Raw genomic sequence first — 20,947 nt, 5'->3', positions numbered from 1 at the left:
CAAAACACTCATTCACTTACTCTTATTTAAAAAATAGAATTCAATTAGAAAACAAGCAAAAGATATGAAGAGACATTTCACCCAAATAGGGCATACAGATGGCAAACAAGCACGTAGAAAGATGTTCGACATCGTTAACCACTAGGGAAATACAATTAACCCTACAATGATATATCATACATACCTATTACAGTTTCCAGGGGGATTATCACTATTTTTTATTTTAGCCATTGTGATAGGTGTGTTTTTTAAAATTTTCCATCATAGCTTAGTTTGAATCTTTGTAGCACAGTAAAGATGAGTAGGTGTTAACTGTAAAAATATTTACTTAGATTACAGAAAGATCACAAAAGACGAAAGCTAATAAAGCAGAATGTCTAGGTGTTAAGTGAATACTAATTTTTCATAGCTTTGATGAGAATTTTCTAACATAAAAATGTAAACTTGTCTCAGTTTGTTCTTTTTCTTGGGACATTTTTTTTCCTATTTCAAAGTAGTGTTTTACATGTTCATGTATTTACACTGGAGACTCATTCATTCACTTAAAATATATTGTGCAACAACAATGCGCTAGGTACTTTTCCATACAACTAATGATTATAGAATTTACCAGTGTGGGCTGGGCGTGGTGGCTCAAGCCTATAATCCCAGCACTTTGGGAGGCCAAGGCAGGCAGATTACCTGAGGTGAGGAGTTTGAGAACAGCCTGGCCAACATGGTGAAACCCCGTCTCTGCTAAAAATACAAAAATTAGCCAGGTGTGGTGGCACACACTTGTAATCCCAGCTACTCGGGAGGCTGAGGCAGGAGAATTGCGTGAGTCTGGGAGGCGGAGGTTGCAGTGAGCAACTGAGATCGTGCCACTGCACTCCAGCCTGGCCGACAGACCAAGACTCTGTCTCCCCACCAAAAAAAAAAAAAAAAAAAAAAAGCATTTACCAGTGTGTTAATCACCAGAGTGCTATTCAGGACCCCCATATAACAATTTCACAACTAAAATCTAGCACATTTCATATACTATATTCTTTACAAATAACAAAATAGAAGGGCAAAAGGAATATATCAAGCAACCTTTCTTTATTTCCTAATAACAGCTGTAACAAATAACTTAAGAGACATATGACAAGGGATATTACTTGCCACTCTACAGCATGGAGTATGTTTAAATACCATCCTCTGGTGGTACTGAATGATGATTTTTTGAGAAGCTTTTATTACTTCAGGATAAACAACTGTGAATGAGATTTAGCTAGACCTGCCTTTTACATGACTTATAATAGCTCACAATGTTGCAAGTTTCTTTACACAAGTAGTATCCCAAATCAGCGAGTTACCTTTTCATATCTTGTAACACATCAGGAAAAGTGCAGAAAAAAAAAACCTCCTCTTCTGCAGTAAGAAATAATTGGCATCCACAAGGATGCAATCAGCAAAATCTAGAATGTGAAAACCTCCATAAGGCAAAAGATGCAATTTCTTCCACAAATAAATTGCAAAAGGGGGAAAAGAGAGAATTAAAGACTTTAAACAATGTATCAACCAAATGCAATGTGTGGTCCTTATCTGAATCCTAATTAAATAGAGAATTAGAACAACCAAGTATATAATTTTTTTCAAAATAATCAAGGTAATTTGCACATTGAATATTTGATGATATGAAGGAATTGTTTAATTATTTAACATGTGATTATGTGGTTCATTTTTTAAAAAGGTCATTTGTTAGAAATGCATACTGAAATATTTACAGATGAAATTATATAATATCTAGAATTTGTTTCCAAATAATTGACTGTGGTAGCAGGAGGAAATAGGTGGGGTGGGGATATAGCTCGGCTATGAGTTAATAATGAGTTAGTAAATTGTTGAAGCTGGTTGGTAGGTACACATATGGGGGTTCATTTTATTATCATCTCTACCTTGCGTATTTTTTTGTTTTGGGGGTTGAAGAGGCAAGGTCTTACTCCATTGCATAGGGTGGAATGTTGTGGCTATTGATGATCGCTCAATGCAGCCTTGAACTCCTGGGCTCAAGTGATCTCGCCTTGGCCAAGTAGCTGGAATTACATGCATGCACCAACACACCCAGCTTTATGCAATTTTTTAACACAAACAGGAGCATAACCTACATTTATAAATACTATTTTGTTTATTGGTTTATTCACTATACAATCTTTCAGAATCTTTTTATGTGAGCATATATATGTCAATGATATTTGTTTTAAAATAAACTTTTTATTTTAAACAGTTTTAGATATAGAGAAATTATGAAGATAGTACAGAGTGGTCCTACATATCCCACACCCAGCTTCCCCTATTATTAACATTTTATATTAGCATGCTGCCTTTGTAACAATTCATTAATCAATATTGACATGTTATTATTAACTGAAGTCCATACTTCATTAAGATTGCTGGTCGGGCACAGTGGCTCACACCTGTAATCCCAGCACTTTGGGAGGCCGAGGCGGGCGGATCACGAGGTCAGGAGATCTAGACCATCCTGGCTAACATGGTGAAACCCCGCCTCTACTAAAAATACAAAAAATTGGCTGGGCGTGGTGGCAGGCACCTGTAGTCCCAGCTACTCAGGAGGCTGAGGCAGGAGAATGGTGTGAACCCGGGAGGTGGAGCTTGCAGTGAGTCGAGATCGCACCACTGCACTCCAGCCTGGGCGACAGAGAGAGACTCGGTCTCAAAAAAAAAAAAAAACAAAAAAAAAAAACCAGACTGCTTGATTGCTTTAGTTTTCACCTAATGTCATTAATCTGTTGTTCCAGGATCCCACTCGAGATACATTATATTTGGTCATTGTGTTTCCTTGGGCTCCTCTTGGCTATGACAGCTTCTCAGGCATTCCTTGTTTTTCATGACCTTGACAATTTGAGGAGCCCTCGCAGGTATTCTGCAGATTTGTCTGATGTTTGTCTCATGATTAGATTGGTGTTATAGGTTTTTGGAAGGAAGGCTACCTATTTCAGAGGGTAAAGTGCCATTTTTATCACTTCCAGGTGATATCACTTCCACATGCTAGCAACATAACATCACTGTGGGTGTTAACAGTGATCACCTGGCTGAGGAAGTGTTTGTCAGATTTCTCCACTGTAAAGTTATTCTTTGTTCATTTCTTAACAATTCAAAGATGAATTTATGTTTACTAATTCTTTCTTTTCCTAAGCCACTTCTAATTTAATCAGAGCTGGTGAAGTATTTCTTGAAATGTGTTAGAACACTGAGCTGGAAGAGTGAGATATTAAACTATAAATTCTGTATGATCTCAATTTTCTAAAAATGACATATACATATATATAGAAAAAGACTAGAAAGAAATAGCTCAAAGTTTTATTTTTTCCTGTATACTTTTCCAAAAATGTTCTGCAGTGAACAATTATTTTAAAATCTGGAAGAAGAGTTAAGAAAAAAAAAAGGAATGAAGATCTTTCTCTGGGACAAGCTCAGAAAAAAATATCAGAGTCCTCACAGTACCTGTAACACTAATGTAGCGCTCAGAATGGTAACAGCCTTCTCTGAAACCTGGTGTGTATGTGTGAAGACAATATTCCCAGCTGCCTTTCTTTGCTTACAGAAGACTGTAAATTGCCTCTTATGGAAACTTAACTATTTTTTCAAACAGGAACACTTAATAACTGAGTATAACAGAGACTGAGAAAAATGGAGGGAGGGAGGGTGGGAGGGGAAAAAGGGAGGAAGAAAGGAGGGAGAGAGGAACAACAAATTTAGGTTTTGGGGAGTGAGAAAATGTTCTGTCTTGTTGCTTCCCATCAAAGTACCCAGCATCACAGGATCCTAGCTAATATTATTTATTTGTTAAAGGTATTCATCAGTTCCAGACCAGTCAGTTTCCAGTCAGTTTCCGAATATCAAAAGCATGCTTTCCTAGAGGAAGTCCAAAATATTACCATGGGTCAGCATAAGCATATCTTAGACATATTAATATTAACCTTAGGGGCTGCTCATCCAAAATGGCAACACATCCCTCCCTGCCGGCTCTCCCCATAGTGCCCCATCTCCTCCCTCAGTGGTGGGGTCCTCATGGTTTGTGCAACTCTCTGGGGCCCACTTCGGCCTGTCCTACTCAGGATATTCCCTGCCAAAGAAGTGATGGATATATCATCGCTAAGGTGTCAATAACTGGAGTTGCCTAGAAGCTGCTGTTATACCTAGTATGAAGCATGTGCATTTGGGAAGGGGAAAATCAGTTATCCTAAAGGGATGAATCTCTAAAAGTAGAATGCAGCCATCATGATCCAGGAGAGCAGGGGAGATATGCACGCATGCACACATACATTCAAAAGGGGTTTCAGCCCACACTTCAGGTCACATCACACAGGGAGGAACAGTCTAGTTACACCAAGTGAGCCCTGTGCCAAGGAAAGAGCCCAGTGCCCTTATGGAGGAGGGAGCAGGCGCTTGGGCAAGAATGTCCGACTCCATGAAAGGGACTGTGTGCAGCTGGAGCAAATGCTCACTCATACACCCCACAAGATGAGTTCAGCAAGGCTGAGGCAAGCATCCTGAGTAGTGTAGAAAAATCAAACAGCTCACTCTGGACATTCGAATATAAAAAGAATAAAAATGCCTAGCTCCACAAAAGACACTGTCTGAAATGCGCTTCCTGTCACAGCCACCTGCCTTTCCATTTGGAGTCTGGGTTCTGTCTCATTAAACAGAAGAGTTGATTCAGTTGGGTCCATCTAATTATTCTTATTAAAATATGTAACCATAATATTTTAATTGTAAATTAAAGTTGCATGCATGAATGACTCTGAATTCATTTTAATTTCACAATGGCCCAATGCCAAGGCCTTTTTATGGAGAAGATCCATCAGCTCGGATACTGCTCTCCTGGGAATTCAAACCAATGTGCAAATGGAACATGCTTAACTAACAAGGGAGATTCTCACTCCCTTTTCTCCTCTTTCTAGATTTATTACAGTCATAAAGCTGTTTTAACAAGAGAGACTACATTTGATTCCTCACCCCCAAAATGTAAAAAAAAAAAAAAAATTACTAAATTTTAAGGTCAGTACTACCATTTAGACAGAACCAAGATGTCACTCCCAGGCTGTATGAATCTTGTTACGAGGATGGTAAATAAATCTCAATTCACGTGCCAACCTCATGATTAATTAGTAATGTTTGCTGTGGGTACTGAGAGAAAAGTGCTTCCATACTCACTGTACCCTTGGTCTAGATTCCAAAACAATCAGTCATACTGCATTTGGTCCTTACATATTCGATTAGGTGGAACCTGAATTACTTTCCACTAAACAACCAGACACTAGGATATGAAAGGCTTGACCTAAACCTTCTCTATTTCTAACTGGCATTGACTACAGGGTGCTGTTGAGGAGCTGATTAGATAAAAATATCTTTTATAGTTAAAGGTTTAGAAAGCTTCTTCTTGACTTCTAAGCCAATGCCTGAAGGATAAGTAGAAGTTAGCCAGTCAACACAGTACAAAGGCTAGGGGAAGAGATTATTCCAGGCAGTGGAAAAAAACATCTGTAAAAGTCCATGGGGGTCAGAGTGCATGGAGCATTCAAGGCTCTAAAATAAGCTCTGAAATAAGGAACAAGAAGTGCACTGGAGTGGTAGGTGGGGCACAGGAAAGAAGTCTGGAGAAAGAAGGAGGTTTGGATCCTGCAGAGTGCTAGAGACCACGTGCAGGTGTTTTGACTTTGTTCTAAGGGCAATGGATTTGACGCCAGGCGATCATTCCAGCTACACCAAGTGACTCTGCACACTGCCACACATGGGTGCTGGGAGGATAACTCCGCCCATGGCTCCTTTGGGAGGACGACCAGAAGCTCTGTCCTTGGACCCCACCTGACTGCCCATGCGTCCAGCTCTTGCTTTGGCTGGTTCTCGTTTGTGTTCTTTCTCTATAAAAAGCAGCGTCTGTGAGGATAATAGCTCTGAGTTCTGTGAGTTTTTCTTGTGAATTATTAAACTTGAAGGTGGTTCAGGAAAGCCCCAAGCTTGCAATTGGTGTTGAAGACAAGGGCAGTCCTGTGGGAACTATGCCCTTAACCTTGCAGTTTCATTAACTTCATGGGCGGGTATTTCCCGGAACAAGCAGCTTGGTCTCAGGATTACTTAAAATGAGATGGAAAAAAGCATGCCTGGTATAGGTATTGTGGAAGGTCACCTCTAGGGGTGGAAGTGAGGGGGACTGACTGGAAAAGGGCACACGGTACCTTCTGGGGAGCCAGAAACATCTATACTTTGATCTGAGTGGTAGTTACACAGGTATATAAAAATCCATTTAGGCCATGATCAGTGGCTCATGTCTGCAATCCCAGCTCTTTGGGAGGCTGAGGCAGGAGGACTGCTTGAAGCCAGAAGTTCGAGACCAATCTAGGCAACAAAGAGAGACCCTGTCTCTACTAAAACAAAAAGACAAAAATCCATTGAGCTACATACATAAGATTGGAACACTTTATGCATTTTACTATACATATTATAGCCCAATTTTTTTGTTTTTTGTGGGTTTTTTCTGAGACAGAGTCTCGCTTTGTCACCCAGGCTGGAGTGCAGTGGCATGATCTCAGCCCACTGCAACCTCCACCTCCCAGGTTCAAGAGATTCTTGTGCCTCAGCCTCCCAAGTAGCTGGAACTACAGACGCATGCCACTACGCCCAGCTAATTTTGGTATTTTTAGTAGAGATGGGGTTTCCCCATGTTGGACAGGCTGGTCTCGAACTCCTGACCTCAAGTAATCCAACCACCTCGGTCTCCCAAAGTGCTGGGATTACAGGCATGAGTCATGGTGCCCAGCCAATTATTTTGGTTTTTGGTTTTTCGTTTGAGACAGGGTCTTGCTCTGTCGCCGGGGCTGAAGTGTGGTGGCGTAATCTTGGCTCACTGCAACCTCTGGCTCCCAGGCTCAAGCAATCCTCCCACCTCAGCCTCCTGAGTACATAGGACCACAGGCACAGGCCACCATGCCCGTCTAGCCCAATTTTTAAAAGTTAAAAAACAAACCAAAACACTGCCTTTGAAAATGGGGAAGCCCAGCCTAGAGTTAAGGGATGCAAGCAAGGCTGGACTGCTGAGAAGAACCTGAAGCCAAAGATAGGGCTGAAATTAAAGATGTGAGAGCTAGCAAAGGACTTTCTGGAAAGATTCTCTGAAATAAATGGTTTCATGCTTTCCACTTGTGCAGGGTGAGCTGGGACCATGTGACTGTGTGAATGTGTGACTCGTGTGCATGTGTGTGCACGTGTGTGTGCACACTCCCTAGACAGGCCCCTGTGCTGCTTCTCCACTTCATCAGCCTCACCAAGTGATGATGTGCACTGCACCACAGCAGGCAGGGCAATGCGTACTGCCAAAGGAGGGACACTCAGCCGGGGCTGGCATGAGGGCTGTCCTACGCTCCTCCCAGTCAGGGAGAGGCTCAGGGGGCGGGCATGGAGGCCTGGGAAGCCAGGCTGCAGGCAGAAGGGCCAGTTTTGCCAGTGTTGTATGAAACCAAGCCCAGGCAACAAGTGGGGCAAACCTGAAACTAATGGCAGAAATTCCCCTGGGCTGCTACCTGAAGGAAGGAGAATTCAGGGATGAGTCAATGGAGTAAAAAAGCAGGAAGGCAGACTGGATGGATACTGCTCCAAGCCAAGGGGTGGGAGGCAGAGCCTGGGAGAATTCTGAGTCACGAGCTGTGGGTGGGAATGTGCTCCACAGCTGAGTCACTGGAACCCAAAATGAAGGCTATGCAGGCACCAATGGTGGGAGTAGAGGAGCAGGTACAGGAGGGTGGGCCTTTGGTCTTTCATGAAACCTCCTCAAGCAACCCATGGGTTTATGGTTCGCAAATGAAGAACTAACCTGTGTGAATCAAAATAAGTGGGTTATTTATTTTTGGATTTGTGATGACATACCTCTTTCTGTTGTTCCGGAAACATCTTCAGCACAGGACACGATCAATCTGAAAAATAAGATATCCACACTGGGTCATTTGGAACCTCCAAACTGGAGTGGATACACCACTCATGGCCTCCCACCCAAATCCCCTGACAGAGCCCCCCCCGCCCCACAGTCCCTGACATGTGAGCCTCTGCTCCTCCCACGCTGCCCTCTCCTGCTGGCAGGACCAAGGTGAACATCAGTCCACACCAGGGGTTAGGAGTCTGGACCCCAAAGAGTCCAAGGCAGCTGGATGATGACAGACCTTCAAACCGCAAGGCCAGCCAGTCAGGCTGGGGCTGGAGCCTTAGTGAATTGGCGAGGAAGCTGGAGATGCCGGGGAGCAGAAGCCATGTGCGGGGGGATGCTGGCTGGAAAAGACGCGCAGAGAGATCCACCACCAGAGGCAGCCCTGACGCTTTTACCGGAAACTCAAACCTTCTGGGATCAGGCCCTTCCTGTGACACTTATATTACTCCAGAGGTCACATAAGAGATGGTGTGGCCCTCAGCGGGATAAAGCCAGGACCTTGACTCTGACCTTCTGAGCAGTGCAGCCAGCCTGTTGTTTGATTCCAGGCCCTGCATGTCTCTGGGGTTGTCAATTGTTCTTTAAACCCACTTGGTATGTAAGCTCATTAGATTTAACACCTGCTCCCTGCCAAAAACAAAAAGCAAATTTAAATTCCCTGCCTATATCCACACATATGTATTCTTACAACTGAGGGTGACTATGACTGCAGGTCTACTATTTGCCTTCACTTTGATAATATCAGTATGTGTCTGAGCCCACTTTCCGGGTCCCTATTATCCCCCACACGTATTCCCAGAGTCTCTATACTCATGTCACTGGCACCATAGGGAACACAGGGAAGCAGGAACACAGGCTCCGCTTCCAGGGCCGTGTGGAGGTGCAGACGAGAGACCCCACAGGGCCTCTGGAAGGGGCAAGCGAGCTGCACCCGAGCAGCAGCAGGAAGCTTTCCAAGAGGAAGGGAGTCCCTCTCCCCTGGAGCAGTCAGAGGACCCATGGAGAGGGAATGGGAGAGCAGGGGATCGCAGTGTTCAAGGAAAAAAAGCAGGACCTCCAGGGGAGCGGAGGAGCAACAACAACACCCACAGAGCCTGGTGAAAAGCGTGCCCTATGGTCCAGAGATCGTGACCAGGCCAGATCAGCTGGGGGACAGGGTTCTCAGAGGGTGTAGTGGGGTGGAATTGTGGCTGCCATAAAGATAGGTCCATGTCCTGATCCACAGAACCTGTGAATGTGACTTTATTTGAAAAAAGAGTCTTTGGAGACATAATTAAGAATCTCAAGATAAAATCATCCTGGATGACTGGAGTGAACCCTAAATCTGATGGCAAGTGCCCATATAAGAGAAAGAGAGGAGAACACAGAGAAGAACATGTGAAGACGAAGACGGAGGAGGGGGAGGGATGCAGCCCCCAGCCATGGAGCCCCTGGGGCTGGAAGAAGCAAGGCGGGGATTCTGCCCTAGGGCCTCTGCAGGGGAGCAGGGCTCTGCTGCCACCTGGATTTTGGACTTCCAGCATCCCAAATTGTAACAGAATAAATTTCTGCTGTTCTAAATATCAAGCTTGTGGTAACTTATTGCCGCAGCTATAAGAAGCTAGTCAAGAGGGGACCAGTCGAGATTAGGTTGGAAAGACAGACTGGGGTTGGAACTGGAGATTCCGTTCAGTCACTCTTTGTGGAGCTCCTGCTATGTGCCATGGGCTGAGGTGCAAGCAGGACACACGGTGGAGTACACAGCAGGCTCAGAGCTTTGGAGGCGACTTCCTAATTATAATGTGGAACTGATAGGAAAGGACACCGTGTGATAGGAATGGAAAAACACACAACAGGGATAAACCTGGAGGACACAGGCCAAATGAAATAAGCCAGTCACAAAAAGACAGACACCGTATGATTCCACTTGTATGAAGTACCAAGAGCAGTCACATTCAGAGGCAGAGGCCAGGTGGTGGCTCACACCTGTAATCCTAGCACTTTGGGAGGCCAAGGCAAGCAGATTACCTGAGGTCAGGAGTTAGAGACCAGCCTGGCCAACAGGGCAAAACCCCAACTCTACCAAAAACAAAAACTTATCCGGGAGTCATGGCACGCCCGTGGTCTCAGCTACTCAGGAGGCTGAGGTAGGAGGATCACTTGAGCCTGGGAAGCAAAAGTTGCAGTGAGCTGAGACTGTGCTACTGCACTCCAGCTTGAGTGAGAGACCTCATCTCAAAAAAAAAAAAAAAAAAAATTCAGAGACAGAAAGTAGAATGGTGGCTGCCAAGTATGGGAGGGAGAGGGGGTGGGGGGCAGCTGAGTGGGTACAGAGTTTCAGTTGTGCAAGATGAAAAGAGTTCAGGAGATCAACGGCACAACAATGTGAACATCCTTCACACCACTGAACTGTACACCTAGAAATGGATCAGATGGTACATTTTAGGTTGTGTGTTTTTTACCATTTAAAACAAAACTTTAAAGAATGGAGGGACTAAGTGGGGGTGGAGAGGGTTTACTGAGAAAATGGCACTTCCGCTGAGGCCTAAAGGATGGTGTGAGATAGCCAGGAAAGCAAAAGGAAAAAGGCCCTCTACACAGAAGGCCTGGGTCATGCCAAGGGGAGGAGGCCAGGAGGAGGAGCGGCTCAAGTCCGGTTATCATGGGATTCCTGCACCAGAGCCAAGTTAGCCGGTGGGTTCCACCATCTCAGGATCTGCCCATGCTCCCCACACACATCACGTGCTCCACACGGCTGAACCTCTACCCTCATACTTTCACCCTTTCCAGGCACCAGCAAACTCTGCCAGGATTCTGCACAGAAATCACTTCCCGGGCTCTCTGCCCCATTACACAACCGCGTGCTGTGCAGTCCCCTGGTGCCATTAACTTCGCTTGCATCATGATGTTTAGATACCCTCTGTCTCTCCCATTTGACTGAATTTCTCCACCAGGGCATAGCTGTGTTTCCTTGTGTAATTAAACTTCACAACTGTCCTGTGAGGATTTGAATATCCCCACTTCACAAGAAAGCGGAAGGTCAGAGGGGTTAAGGGGTTAAGTTGCCCAAGGTCACACTATGAAAGAGTGCAAGTGCTCAAGTTCCACTGCAACCAAAGCCAGTCTGCTTCCCTAGGGTGGCCTTCCAATGCCACAGGCTGCCTCCATGACTCTGTAATGTGAACAAATGGTTCAAAGTTGGGGTCTTAAATTTCCCCAAAGGGCTTGAGCTTTTCCCAGCCAGGCAGAACTCTGCAGTTCTATCTAATAGGAGTCTGATAATTGGCCACCTTAAGATGCTACAGACCAAGTCCAACTATGAAGTAGGAAACTGGCCCCGGGGGCTCACACCTGTAATCTCAGCACTTTGGGAGGTTGAGGCGGGCAGATCACTTAGGAGTTCAAGACCAGCCTGGATAACATGGCGAAACCCCATCTCTACAAAAAATACAAAAATTAGCTGGGCATGATAGCATGCGCCTGTGGTCCCAGCTACTACTTGGGAGGCTGAGGTGGGAGGACTGCTTGAGCCTGGGAGGTCAACGCTGCGGTGAGCCATGATCATGCCACTGCACTCCAGCCTGGGTTACAGTGAGACCCTGTCTCAAAATATAAAAAAGAAAATAAAAAAGAAAATAGGAAACTTGGGAAAGTTGAAAGCAGTTTCAACCAGTTGTTCCAAAACATCACAGTGAACTATCATGGTCAACCTCTAATACTGTAAATCTGTACAGTGAAAATGGTGATCATGTCATTTTCTAAGCTCTATACACTTCCATATTGTCTGAATTTTCCTAGTAACATTAATTTTAAACTTTTTAAAGTAATAATTATTTTAAATACAGTAAATAGCATAATGCTCTCAGAATAGTAATTTTAACATAAATTATTTTTATTTCATGTAAAATAAATAGCAAATTCAAATGTATTAAGAGATGCTACCTTTATGACACAAGAGAAAGTATCATTTGGTACTAGAACTTGCCATGGCATTTACTGGTGGGGAGAAGGAAATTCAATGACAGCGCAATTGTATGGTTTGAGATAAAAGGTCAACTGTCTATAATTTAGCAAACCAAAGCTGCCAATCAGAAATTGCTCCCTGAGGCCAGGCGCAGTGGCTCACGCCTGTAATCCCAACACTTTGGGAGGCCTAGGCAGCCATATCACCTGAGGTCAGGAGTTTGAGACCAGCCTGGCAAACATGGTGAAACCCCGTCTCTACTAAAAATACAAAAATCAGCCGGGTATGGTGGCACATGCCTATAATCCCAGCTACTTGGGAGGCTGAGGCAGGAGAATCACTTGAACTTGGGAGGTGCAGGTTGCAGTGAGCCAAGATCGTGCCACTGCACTCCAGCCTGGGCAACAAGAGCAAGACTGCATCTAAAAAAAAAAAAAAAAGAAAGAAGAAAGGAAAGAAGGAAAGAAAGAAAGAGAGAGAGAGAGAGAAAGAAGAGAAACAGAGAAAGAGGGGAGGGGAGGGAAGGGAAGGGAAGGGAGAAGGACAGAAAGAGAAAGAGAGAGAAAAAGAAATTGCTCCCTGACAAAACTAAGCCCTTTAGGTGAGTTGGAAAATTTTAGGTTTGTATAGATTTCCAAACTCCCCAGGCTACCTTATGTGTCTGTCATAATAATGCACATAGAGGGCTGGGTGTGGTGGCTCATGCCTGTAATCCCAGCACTTTGGGAGGCTGAAGCAGATAGATAATTTGAGGTCAGGAGTTCAAGACCAGCCTGACCAATATGGTGAAACCCTGTCTCTACTGAAAATACAAAAATTAGCCGGGCATGCTGGCATAAACAGCTACTTGGGAGGCTGAGACAGGAGAACTGCTTGAACCCAGGAAGCCAAGGTTGCAGTGAGTCAAGATCACACCACTGCACTCCAGCCTGGACAACAGAGCGAGACTCCATCTCAAAAAAAAAAAAATGCACATAGAGAATTCTTGTCTCACTGAAAGACTGTTATGCCAAGTATGGATATCTGCCTCCCAGTGTCCTCTGCTAGGCTGTCTCTAGAGTATTCTCTCTCTTCCACCAATGAAGAACCCCCATCACACCTGGATGGCCACCCATTCTCCTTCTCTCTTACCTTCATTGTAAGAATTATTATTTTTATTTTATTTCATTTTAGAGACAGGGTCTCACTGTCACCCAGGCTAGAATGCAGTGGCACAATTATAGCTCACTGTTGCCTCAGATTCCTAGGCTCAAGTGATCCTCCCACCTCAGCCTCCCTAGCAGCCGAGACTACAGGAACAAGCCACCATGCCTGACTAATTTTTTTAAATTTTTGTAGAGATGGTATATCCCTATGTTGCCCAGGCTGGTCTCGAACTCCTGGCCTCAAGCCATCCTCCTGCCTCAGCCTCCCAAAGTGCTCAATAACAGGTGTGAGTCATCGCACCCAGCCCATTCCAAGAATCATTAAATCTCACAATCAAGCTGGGCGTGGCTTGGTTTCCACATTGTTTGAATTTTTCATTTTAAAACAAAAAATCAGCCAGGGATGGTGGTGCACACCTGTATTCCTAACTACTCAGGAGGCTGAGGTGGGAGGATCCCTTCAGCCCAGGAGGTTAGGCTGCAGTGAGCTATTTGCACCACTACACTCCAGCCTAGACAACAGAGCGAGACTCTGTCTCTAAAATAAACAAATGAAAAAAGATAAAATCGCACAACCACATCAAACAACAGGAATGATTTCTCAAACCTGCTGGTGACATTACAGCTGGATACACACAGGCAGCAGACACATGGGTTATCCCCTTCCTGGGAAACATGGCAGTCCTGAAGACTCATCTGAGAGACTCGTGTATCTCTTCACAACCCCACTGCCCTGAGAGCATGGTACACAGATCTGCCCAAACCGAAAACTCGAGGAGAAAGCTTCCTCTATTTTCTACCTTGGAATACTTTTTCTATAAAATGCAAAATATCTATGAAGCAAAGATAAAATTCTATAAAGTACCACTTGGCAATCTTTTTCTGTAGAGGGTCAGATAGTAAATATTTGAGGTTTTGTAGGCCACAGGGTCTCTGCATCTCCTACTCAAGTCTGCAGTGCATAGTGAAAAGGCACTCACAGATGCCTAACTGAATGAACATGGCTGGGTTCCAGTTAAACTTTATCTACAAAAACTGGTGGCAGTAGTTTGCAGACCCCTACTACAGAGCAAGCCATTACTGTGCCTTCAGTACTTATATATACTATACCTTAATAATACCTTTCTGAGGTCAACAGGCCAAAACATTTGCAATGCTAGGCTTGGTCTATATGCCTATGGGAGATCTCACTGACAAGTAAACTACTGACCAAAAGTTTGTGGACTATACATGTAAGGAGTGAGAAAGGATCACATATTTTTTCAAATGATGAAATAAGGAATAACAAGTATGGTTTATATCATTATTTAAAAAAAAAACGGCAAAGACTTTTTCTAAATCTTTAGATCAGGTGCTCCCTGATTCATGAATCACTAATAAAAGCCAATTTAATTTTTAAACAAAATTTTTTGTAACTTTTTCTTTTGGCAAGATCAAAGTCTCAGAACCAACTATTTAAAAAAAAAAAAAAAAGATCGGCCAGGTGGGGTGACTCACGCCTGTAATCCCAGTACTTTGGGAGGCCAAGGCAGGTGGATCACAAGGTCAGGAGTTCGAGACTCCACCCTGGCCAATATGGTGAAACCCCGTCTCTACTAAAAATAGAAAAATTAGCCAGGCATGGTGGCAGGCGCCTGTAATCCCAGCTACCCTGTAATTCCAGCTACTCGGGAGGCTGAGGCAGGAGAATCGCTTAAACTTGGGAGGCAGAGGTTACAGTGAGCCGAGATCATGCCACTGCACTCCAACCTGGGTGAGTGAGACTCTGTCAAAAAAAAAAGAAAAAAAAAAAAGATCAAGCTCAACAACAACAAACAAAAACAAAGAAAAAAACCCTAAATGCCTGACTTCACCACTGTGCAACCTGGCATGTAAGAAAATTGCACTTGAACCCCATAAATTTATACAAATAAAAAATCCGATTTAAAAAATATGCAAGACCGGGCACATGCCTGTAATCCCAGCACTTTGGGATGCTGAGGTGGGAGGATCACTTGACCTCAAAGTTTGAGACCAGTCTGGGCGGCATGGCGAAATCCTGAAACCGCCTTTGCAAAATTATAACTGAGGAAATTATGGCAGTGAAAGAAATCAGACCTAACCGACTCCATCTTGCTTCTAACGCTTAAGATGTCCTTATTCATTCCTGGGCATAAGCTGAACTAACTTCGGGAAGGAATTCAGTTCATGGTTTGACTCTGAAACAAAACTGGTAACAGCCCTTTCCCGAAAAGACCCCTTTCTTGCCTGGGGTCCAGTCTGCCTTTGCAGAACTAACAAATTAGCTACAAGATTAGAAATTACAATTTAGGGGCCATGTAGTCTCTGGCTCCAAGGGTCTGAACCTTCCTAAATTGCTCCTGGGGATAACATCGTTATTGCAAAACCTAAGATCCATGCTTTAGATACTTTGCAGACCCTGCAACTGCACTGGAAGGATCAGCTGATATCACCCAGAGTGGTAATCTGGCTCAAGCAGTTCTGCCATCCCACCCAGGCACAGAAGACAGGAAGAAAACCTCATTTTGACCCCCCTACGATTCCATCTCCAACCTGACCAATCAGCACTCCCTACTTCCTAAGCTCCTACCCGCCAAATTGTCTTTAAAAACTCTAATCCGGCCGGGCCCAGTGGCTCACACCTGTAATCCCAGCACTTTGGGAGGCCGAGGTGGGCGGATCACGAGGTCAGGAGATCGAGACCATCCTGGCTAACAACACGGTGAAACCCCGTCTCTACTAAAAATACAAAAAATTAGCCAGGTGTGGTGGCGGGCGCCTGTAGTCCCAGCTACTCGGGAGGCTGACGTAGGAGAATGGCGTGAACCAAGATCACGCCACTGCACTCCAGGCCTGGGCAACAGAGCGAGATGCAGTCTCAAAACAACAGCAACAACGCTGGTCTCCCACACAGCGGGGTCTGCGTAAATTACTCTCTCGCCGTTTCAATTCCCGTCTTTATAAATTGGCTCTGTCTAGGCAGTGGGCAAGGTGAACTCATTGGGAAGTTACTATCCCACCTCTACAAAATACACAAAAATTAGCCAGACATGGTGGCATGTGCCTGAAATCCAGGCCACTCGGGAGGCTGGTGTTGTAGGGCTGCTTGAGCCAGGGAGGCAGAGGCTGCAGTGAGCCAAGACCATGCCACTGCACTCCAGCCTGGGTGACAGAGTAAGACTCTGTCTCACAGAAAAAAAAAAAAAAAAAAAAGGACAAAGGAATTGATAGACGTTTCTCCAAAGATGACGTGCAAAGGGCCAATAAACATATGAAAACATGCTCAACATCACTAATCCACAATGAGAAATTAACTCACACCCGTTAGGATAGATCCAAGAAACAAAAAACCAAAAAAGCATTGAGGAGGATATGGAGAAATCGGAACCCTTCTGTTGGCAGCAATGTAAAATGGTGCAGCTGCTATAGAAAACAGTATAGCAGTTCCTCAAAAAATTACAGAAAACTACCACATGATCCAGGAATTCCACTTCCAGATATCCATCCAAAAGAGCTGAAAGCAGGCTCTCAAAGAGCTATTTGTGGGTCCACATCCACAGCAGTATTATTCACAATAGCCAAGAGGTGGAAGTAACCTAAGTGTCCATCAATGAAATGTAATGGATGAGCAAAATGTGGTCTCTCCATACAATGGGTACCATTCAACCTTAAAAGGGAAGGAAATTCTGCCACATGCTACAAAAGAGGACGAACCTTAAGGACATTATGCTAAATGAAATAATCCAATCATAAAAAGACAAATCCTTTATTATTCCACTTACATGAGGTTTTCAAGGAAATTAAATTGATAAAGACAAAGTAGAATGGTGGTTGCCAAGGGCTAGAGGAAAGGGTGAAAGGAGCATTTAAGGGGGAAATGGAACATTCTTGTTTACTGATACAGAGTTTCACTTCTGTGAATGAAAAAGATCTAGAGATCTATTGTACAACAATGTGAATACACTTAACGCTACTGAAGTGTACATTTAAAAAGTGGTAAGGTCTATACACTAGTATGGTGTAGACCATGTGAAAAAAATAATAAAAATGGGTAAGATTGCAAATTTCATGTGTTTCTTACCACAATTAAAAATAAAGTTTTTGAAAGAAGGTCAATAATCTACTTAAATGTTTCATCTTGCTATTAACAGAAGTGCAAATAAAAACAAGTACCATATTTTTTTCTTTAAAATTAGAAATTTCTGTAATAATATCCACTGCTGGCAAGGATCATGAGAAATGGGAACTAAATACTGTTGGTAGGAATGTGAGCTATTTCAATATTTCTGAAAGATAATTTGGCCATATATTTCAAAAGCAACAATATAAATTGTTTATATTCTTTAACTCGATAATTTGACCTCTGGGAACTCAATCTAAAAAAATATCAGTGCTACATGTGCAAAATATTTGTACAGGAAAGAATGTTCAAAATGCAGTGTTTTTAAGAAACAATCAAAGAAAATGGAAACCTAAACGTCCATAAGCGGAGTAGAAAAAAAATGAATTATGTTCCATCTGCATGACAGACTACCTCATAGCCATTATAAATTGTTATAAAAGAATATTAAATGATCGGGGCTGTTCAAACAGTATTGTTGATTTTTTGTTGTTATTTTTTGAGACAGTCTCGCTCTGTCACCCAGGCTGGAGTGCGGTGGCACAATCTCAGCTCACTGCAACCTCCGCCTCCTGGGTTCAAGGGATTTTCGTGCCTCAGCCTCCCCGGTAGGTGGGACTACAGGTGTGCACACCAAGCCCGGCTAATTTTTTTGTATTTTTAGTAGAGACGGGGTTTCACCATGTTGGCCAGGCTGGTCTTGAACTCCTGACCTCAAGTCATCCACTCACTTCAGCCTCTCAAAGTGTAGGGATTACAGGCGTGAGCCACTATGCCCGGCCTCAAACAGTATTATTAAGTGATTTTTTAAAAGCACTTTTTTTTTTTTTTACATATTTACTTAAGAACTGGAGCTTATGCACAATAAAATTAAGAATTAACAGTAGTCATTTCTAAGTGGTAGGATTATGACTGATTTTTACTTCCTTTTTTTCTGTATTTCGCCAAAAGATTACAGTGCATTTGTTAAAGTTTAAGAACAAAACATGTTTTTTAAAAGAAAGTAAAACCTAATGTGCTCAGTTACTTTTATTATTCCCTCCCCACAAAAAACAAACAGCAGTCAAGTTAATTTCACTCTGTGTTTCACTTCCTCCCACAATGTTCAGCTATTTTTCTATTTAAATAAAAAAAATCACTGACTCCTTACTTTCATCTCTTAAGAATATTCCAGGCCGGGCGCGGTGGCTCACGCCTGTAATCCCAGCACTTTGGGAGGCCGAGGCGGGCGGATCACGAGGTCAGGAGATCGAGACCACGGTGAAACCCCGTCTCTACTAAAAATACAAAAAATTAGCCGGGCGCAGTGGCGGGCGCCTGTAGTCCCAGCTACTCGGGAGGCTGAGGCAGGAGAATGGCGTGAACCCGGAAGGCGGAGCTTGCAGTGAGCGGAGATCGCGCCACAGCACTCCCGCCTGGGCGACAGAACGAGACTCCGTCTCAAAAAAAAAAAAAAAAAAAAAAAAAAGAATATTCCATCTGCGAGGTTATTTTAAATTCAATGTTTAGTTCTGTGCCAAGTTTTCCCGTATCTGCTCTCAATACTACCTATGCCCTTGGCTCTGCACTGGACACATCTGTGGTGGTGCCAGGGCCCTCCCAGATCTGCTGGGGAAGAGCCTACCAAGGTCCTGCTCCTAGGGCAGATCTACAGGCGGCTGGCTGTCATGACCCTCCCCAGACACAGTAGGGAGGATCAGGGATGGATGTCTGACTCGAAAGAAGTCAGTCCACAGGCTAGAGGGTACCTAGGGCACAGCCTGGCACAAAAAGAAGAAAGGGCTGGGCAATGGCTCCCTCCTCGTACTTGAACCTAGGAAATATTACTACATTTGGTGGTTCTTTAAGAATGGAGGCTGGAAAGTGATGAAAGAGAAACTGGAGAGATAATGACATCACAGCTGGGGTTCTGAGGGACCAGAGGTTCTTGTGTTATACCCGTATAACACAAGTATATATGAGCCATGATGTAGATAAAAGACACTAAAGGCCACAGAAATTGGCCACCAGACAAGCTGAATCACAGGAGCCAGCTTCGGTTGCTGAAGTGTGCAGGCCTGCCTGGGGCCACTTTCCCAGTGGCTTCCGTGTCCAGCATCTCTGAGGTTCCCTGTGCACAGTGTCCTTAACATAAGCATCCCTTTACTCAAGGTGGCTTGAAGGTGACCCCAGTTTGGGCAATCAAAGGAACTCAAACAAAAAGAAAAAGAAATTAGAGCTGCACCAAAACATGAAAGCTGGGCTGAAGGCAGGCAGCCGTACGCTTTTGGGGAGGGCCTGCAGAGCAAGCAGAACCATCTGCAAACCAGGCCCAAATTGTCTCCCTCAGTCCCAGATTAGAACTAGAAAAGGCAAACCAAGATGGAAAAACAGCAGAACTCTGATATTCAGTTAAAGTTAGAAACACAAATAAAATTGCATTTAAGTTTTTCCACCATTCATCACAAAAGAAAAAAAGAGGATATGACAGCACATCTTTTTTTAAAGTTTATAGCAATCTAAAAAAATACTGGTTCATAGGACATAAATCAAAGAAACCACTAACTTGCTAATCTCTATGACATACAAGTTCCATTTATGGTCATGAACTTGATAGTAGGCCAAATTTAGGGTTTAAAATCCAAGAAACAAAAAAAATTACAGAATTTTAACCTCACAATTATTTGAATGTCATTTTGAAAAAGTGCTACCTGAGATGCAGACACTGAGAACATACCTGCATGTGCATGTTGGCCCTGACCTCCACCTCCCTTTGTACTCACTCACACTAAGAAGCAACCCAGTTACTAAACAGAATAAAAGGAAAGAAGCTGTGAAAAATTACATATGAGAGAGAGGAAATGACCACTGGCACAGGTGCTTCCTAACTCGTACTGTGACATTCTCTCTCTTCAAAAACTGTCCTTAAATGCTTGAGGTGATGGATATCCCAGTTACCCTGATCTGATCATTACACATTGTACATATGTATCAAAATGTCACATGTACCTCAAAAATACATATAACTATGATACAGCAAGTTTAAAAAGACAAAAAACAAAAAACTACCTTGACATCCCAGGCCAAATCCAAAAGCATTTTTCCCACCTCCCACTTTGCTTATGCTACCAAGGTTCTTTTAATTAGTGATTTGTTTGTGCTAATAATTTTCATCTTTTGGAACAGCAGATAAATCTCAGAAGCTGGGGGAGTGGTATTAGTGATTTAAATATTAGTGTTAATTAGTCCAATCGGATTGCCTTTGTATTAACCAGGAGCTATCTTCAGCTACTCACTCATCAGTCATCCCTTTCCACCACACAGGGTTTTGATTATGATGGGAAAAGGGGGAAATCATTGGTAGCTGGGTGCATGAAATTCTTTGAAGGCTGATGTATTCCTCGATGCCTTACCCAAGGATTGTGAAAAACCTGAGAACACAACCTCCTGAAGAACAGCAGAAAATGCCCTGCCCTCTCTCCTGCCAACAAAACATTTTTTCAATTCTACTCACTCTACCCCTTCACCTGGTAAGAGTAAGAAGTACTATCACAACTTCCCATCAAAGTACTACCTAAATATAGCATCAAAAGAATAAAATAGTCGGGTGCGGTGGCTCACGCCTGTAATCCCAGCACTTTGGGAGGCCGAGACGGGCGGATCATGAGGTCAGGAGATCAAGACCATCCTAGCTAACATGGTGAAACCCCATCTCTACTAAAAATACAAAAAAATTAGCCGGGTGCGGTGGCGGGCACCTGTAGTCCCAGCTACTCAGAGGCTGAGGCAGGAGAATGGTGTGA

General features: G+C 43.7%; 1 protein-coding gene across 9 annotated transcripts in view, besides 3 other annotated features; it reads right to left on the bottom strand.

Annotated features, from left to right (window-relative positions):
- The window catches only part of SNX10 (sorting nexin 10), an 82,522-nt gene that overhangs the window by 20,015 nt on the left and 41,560 nt on the right, over positions 1 to 20,947 (bottom strand). For 5 of the 9 annotated variants that reach the window (NM_013322.3, NM_001362754.1, NM_001199835.1 and 2 more), the window contains exon 2: positions 7,903 to 7,949. In NM_013322.3, coding sequence (NP_037454.2) covers positions 7,903 to 7,926 — 24 coding nt within the window. In that variant the 5' untranslated portion in view covers positions 7,927 to 7,949. Of the gene's footprint in view, positions 1 to 184; positions 313 to 1,334; positions 1,437 to 7,902; positions 7,950 to 8,192; positions 9,293 to 20,947 lie in introns of those variants that run through there. The other 4 variants (NM_001362753.1, XM_006715712.3, XM_047420282.1 and 1 more) reach the window with 4 other exon arrangements.
- Positions 5,759 to 5,908: an enhancer, noted in NCBI's record as "active region_25789". NCBI's record gives its function as "activates an Ori minimal core promoter by ATAC-STARR-seq in GM12878 lymphoblastoid cells {active_cell/tissue: GM12878}" and the evidence as "EXISTENCE:reporter gene assay evidence [ECO:0000049][PMID:35858748]".
- Positions 7,835 to 8,762: an enhancer, noted in NCBI's record as "H3K4me1 hESC enhancer chr7:26385227-26386154 (GRCh37/hg19 assembly coordinates)". NCBI's record gives its function as "activates a minimal SCP1, AML or CMV promoter by ChIP-STARR-seq in naive H9 embryonic stem cells {active_cell/tissue: H9 hESC(naive)}" and the evidence as "EXISTENCE:reporter gene assay evidence [ECO:0000049][PMID:30033119]".
- Positions 18,421 to 18,936: an enhancer, noted in NCBI's record as "H3K4me1 hESC enhancer chr7:26375053-26375568 (GRCh37/hg19 assembly coordinates)". NCBI's record gives its function as "activates a minimal SCP1, AML or CMV promoter by ChIP-STARR-seq in primed H9 embryonic stem cells {active_cell/tissue: H9 hESC(primed)}" and the evidence as "EXISTENCE:reporter gene assay evidence [ECO:0000049][PMID:30033119]".

Source organism: Homo sapiens, chromosome 7, assembly GCF_000001405.40.
Source record: "Homo sapiens chromosome 7, GRCh38.p14 Primary Assembly".
Taxonomy (NCBI): Eukaryota; Metazoa; Chordata; class Mammalia; order Primates; family Hominidae; genus Homo; species Homo sapiens.
This window is presented reverse-complemented; position numbering and strand designations above follow the sequence as displayed.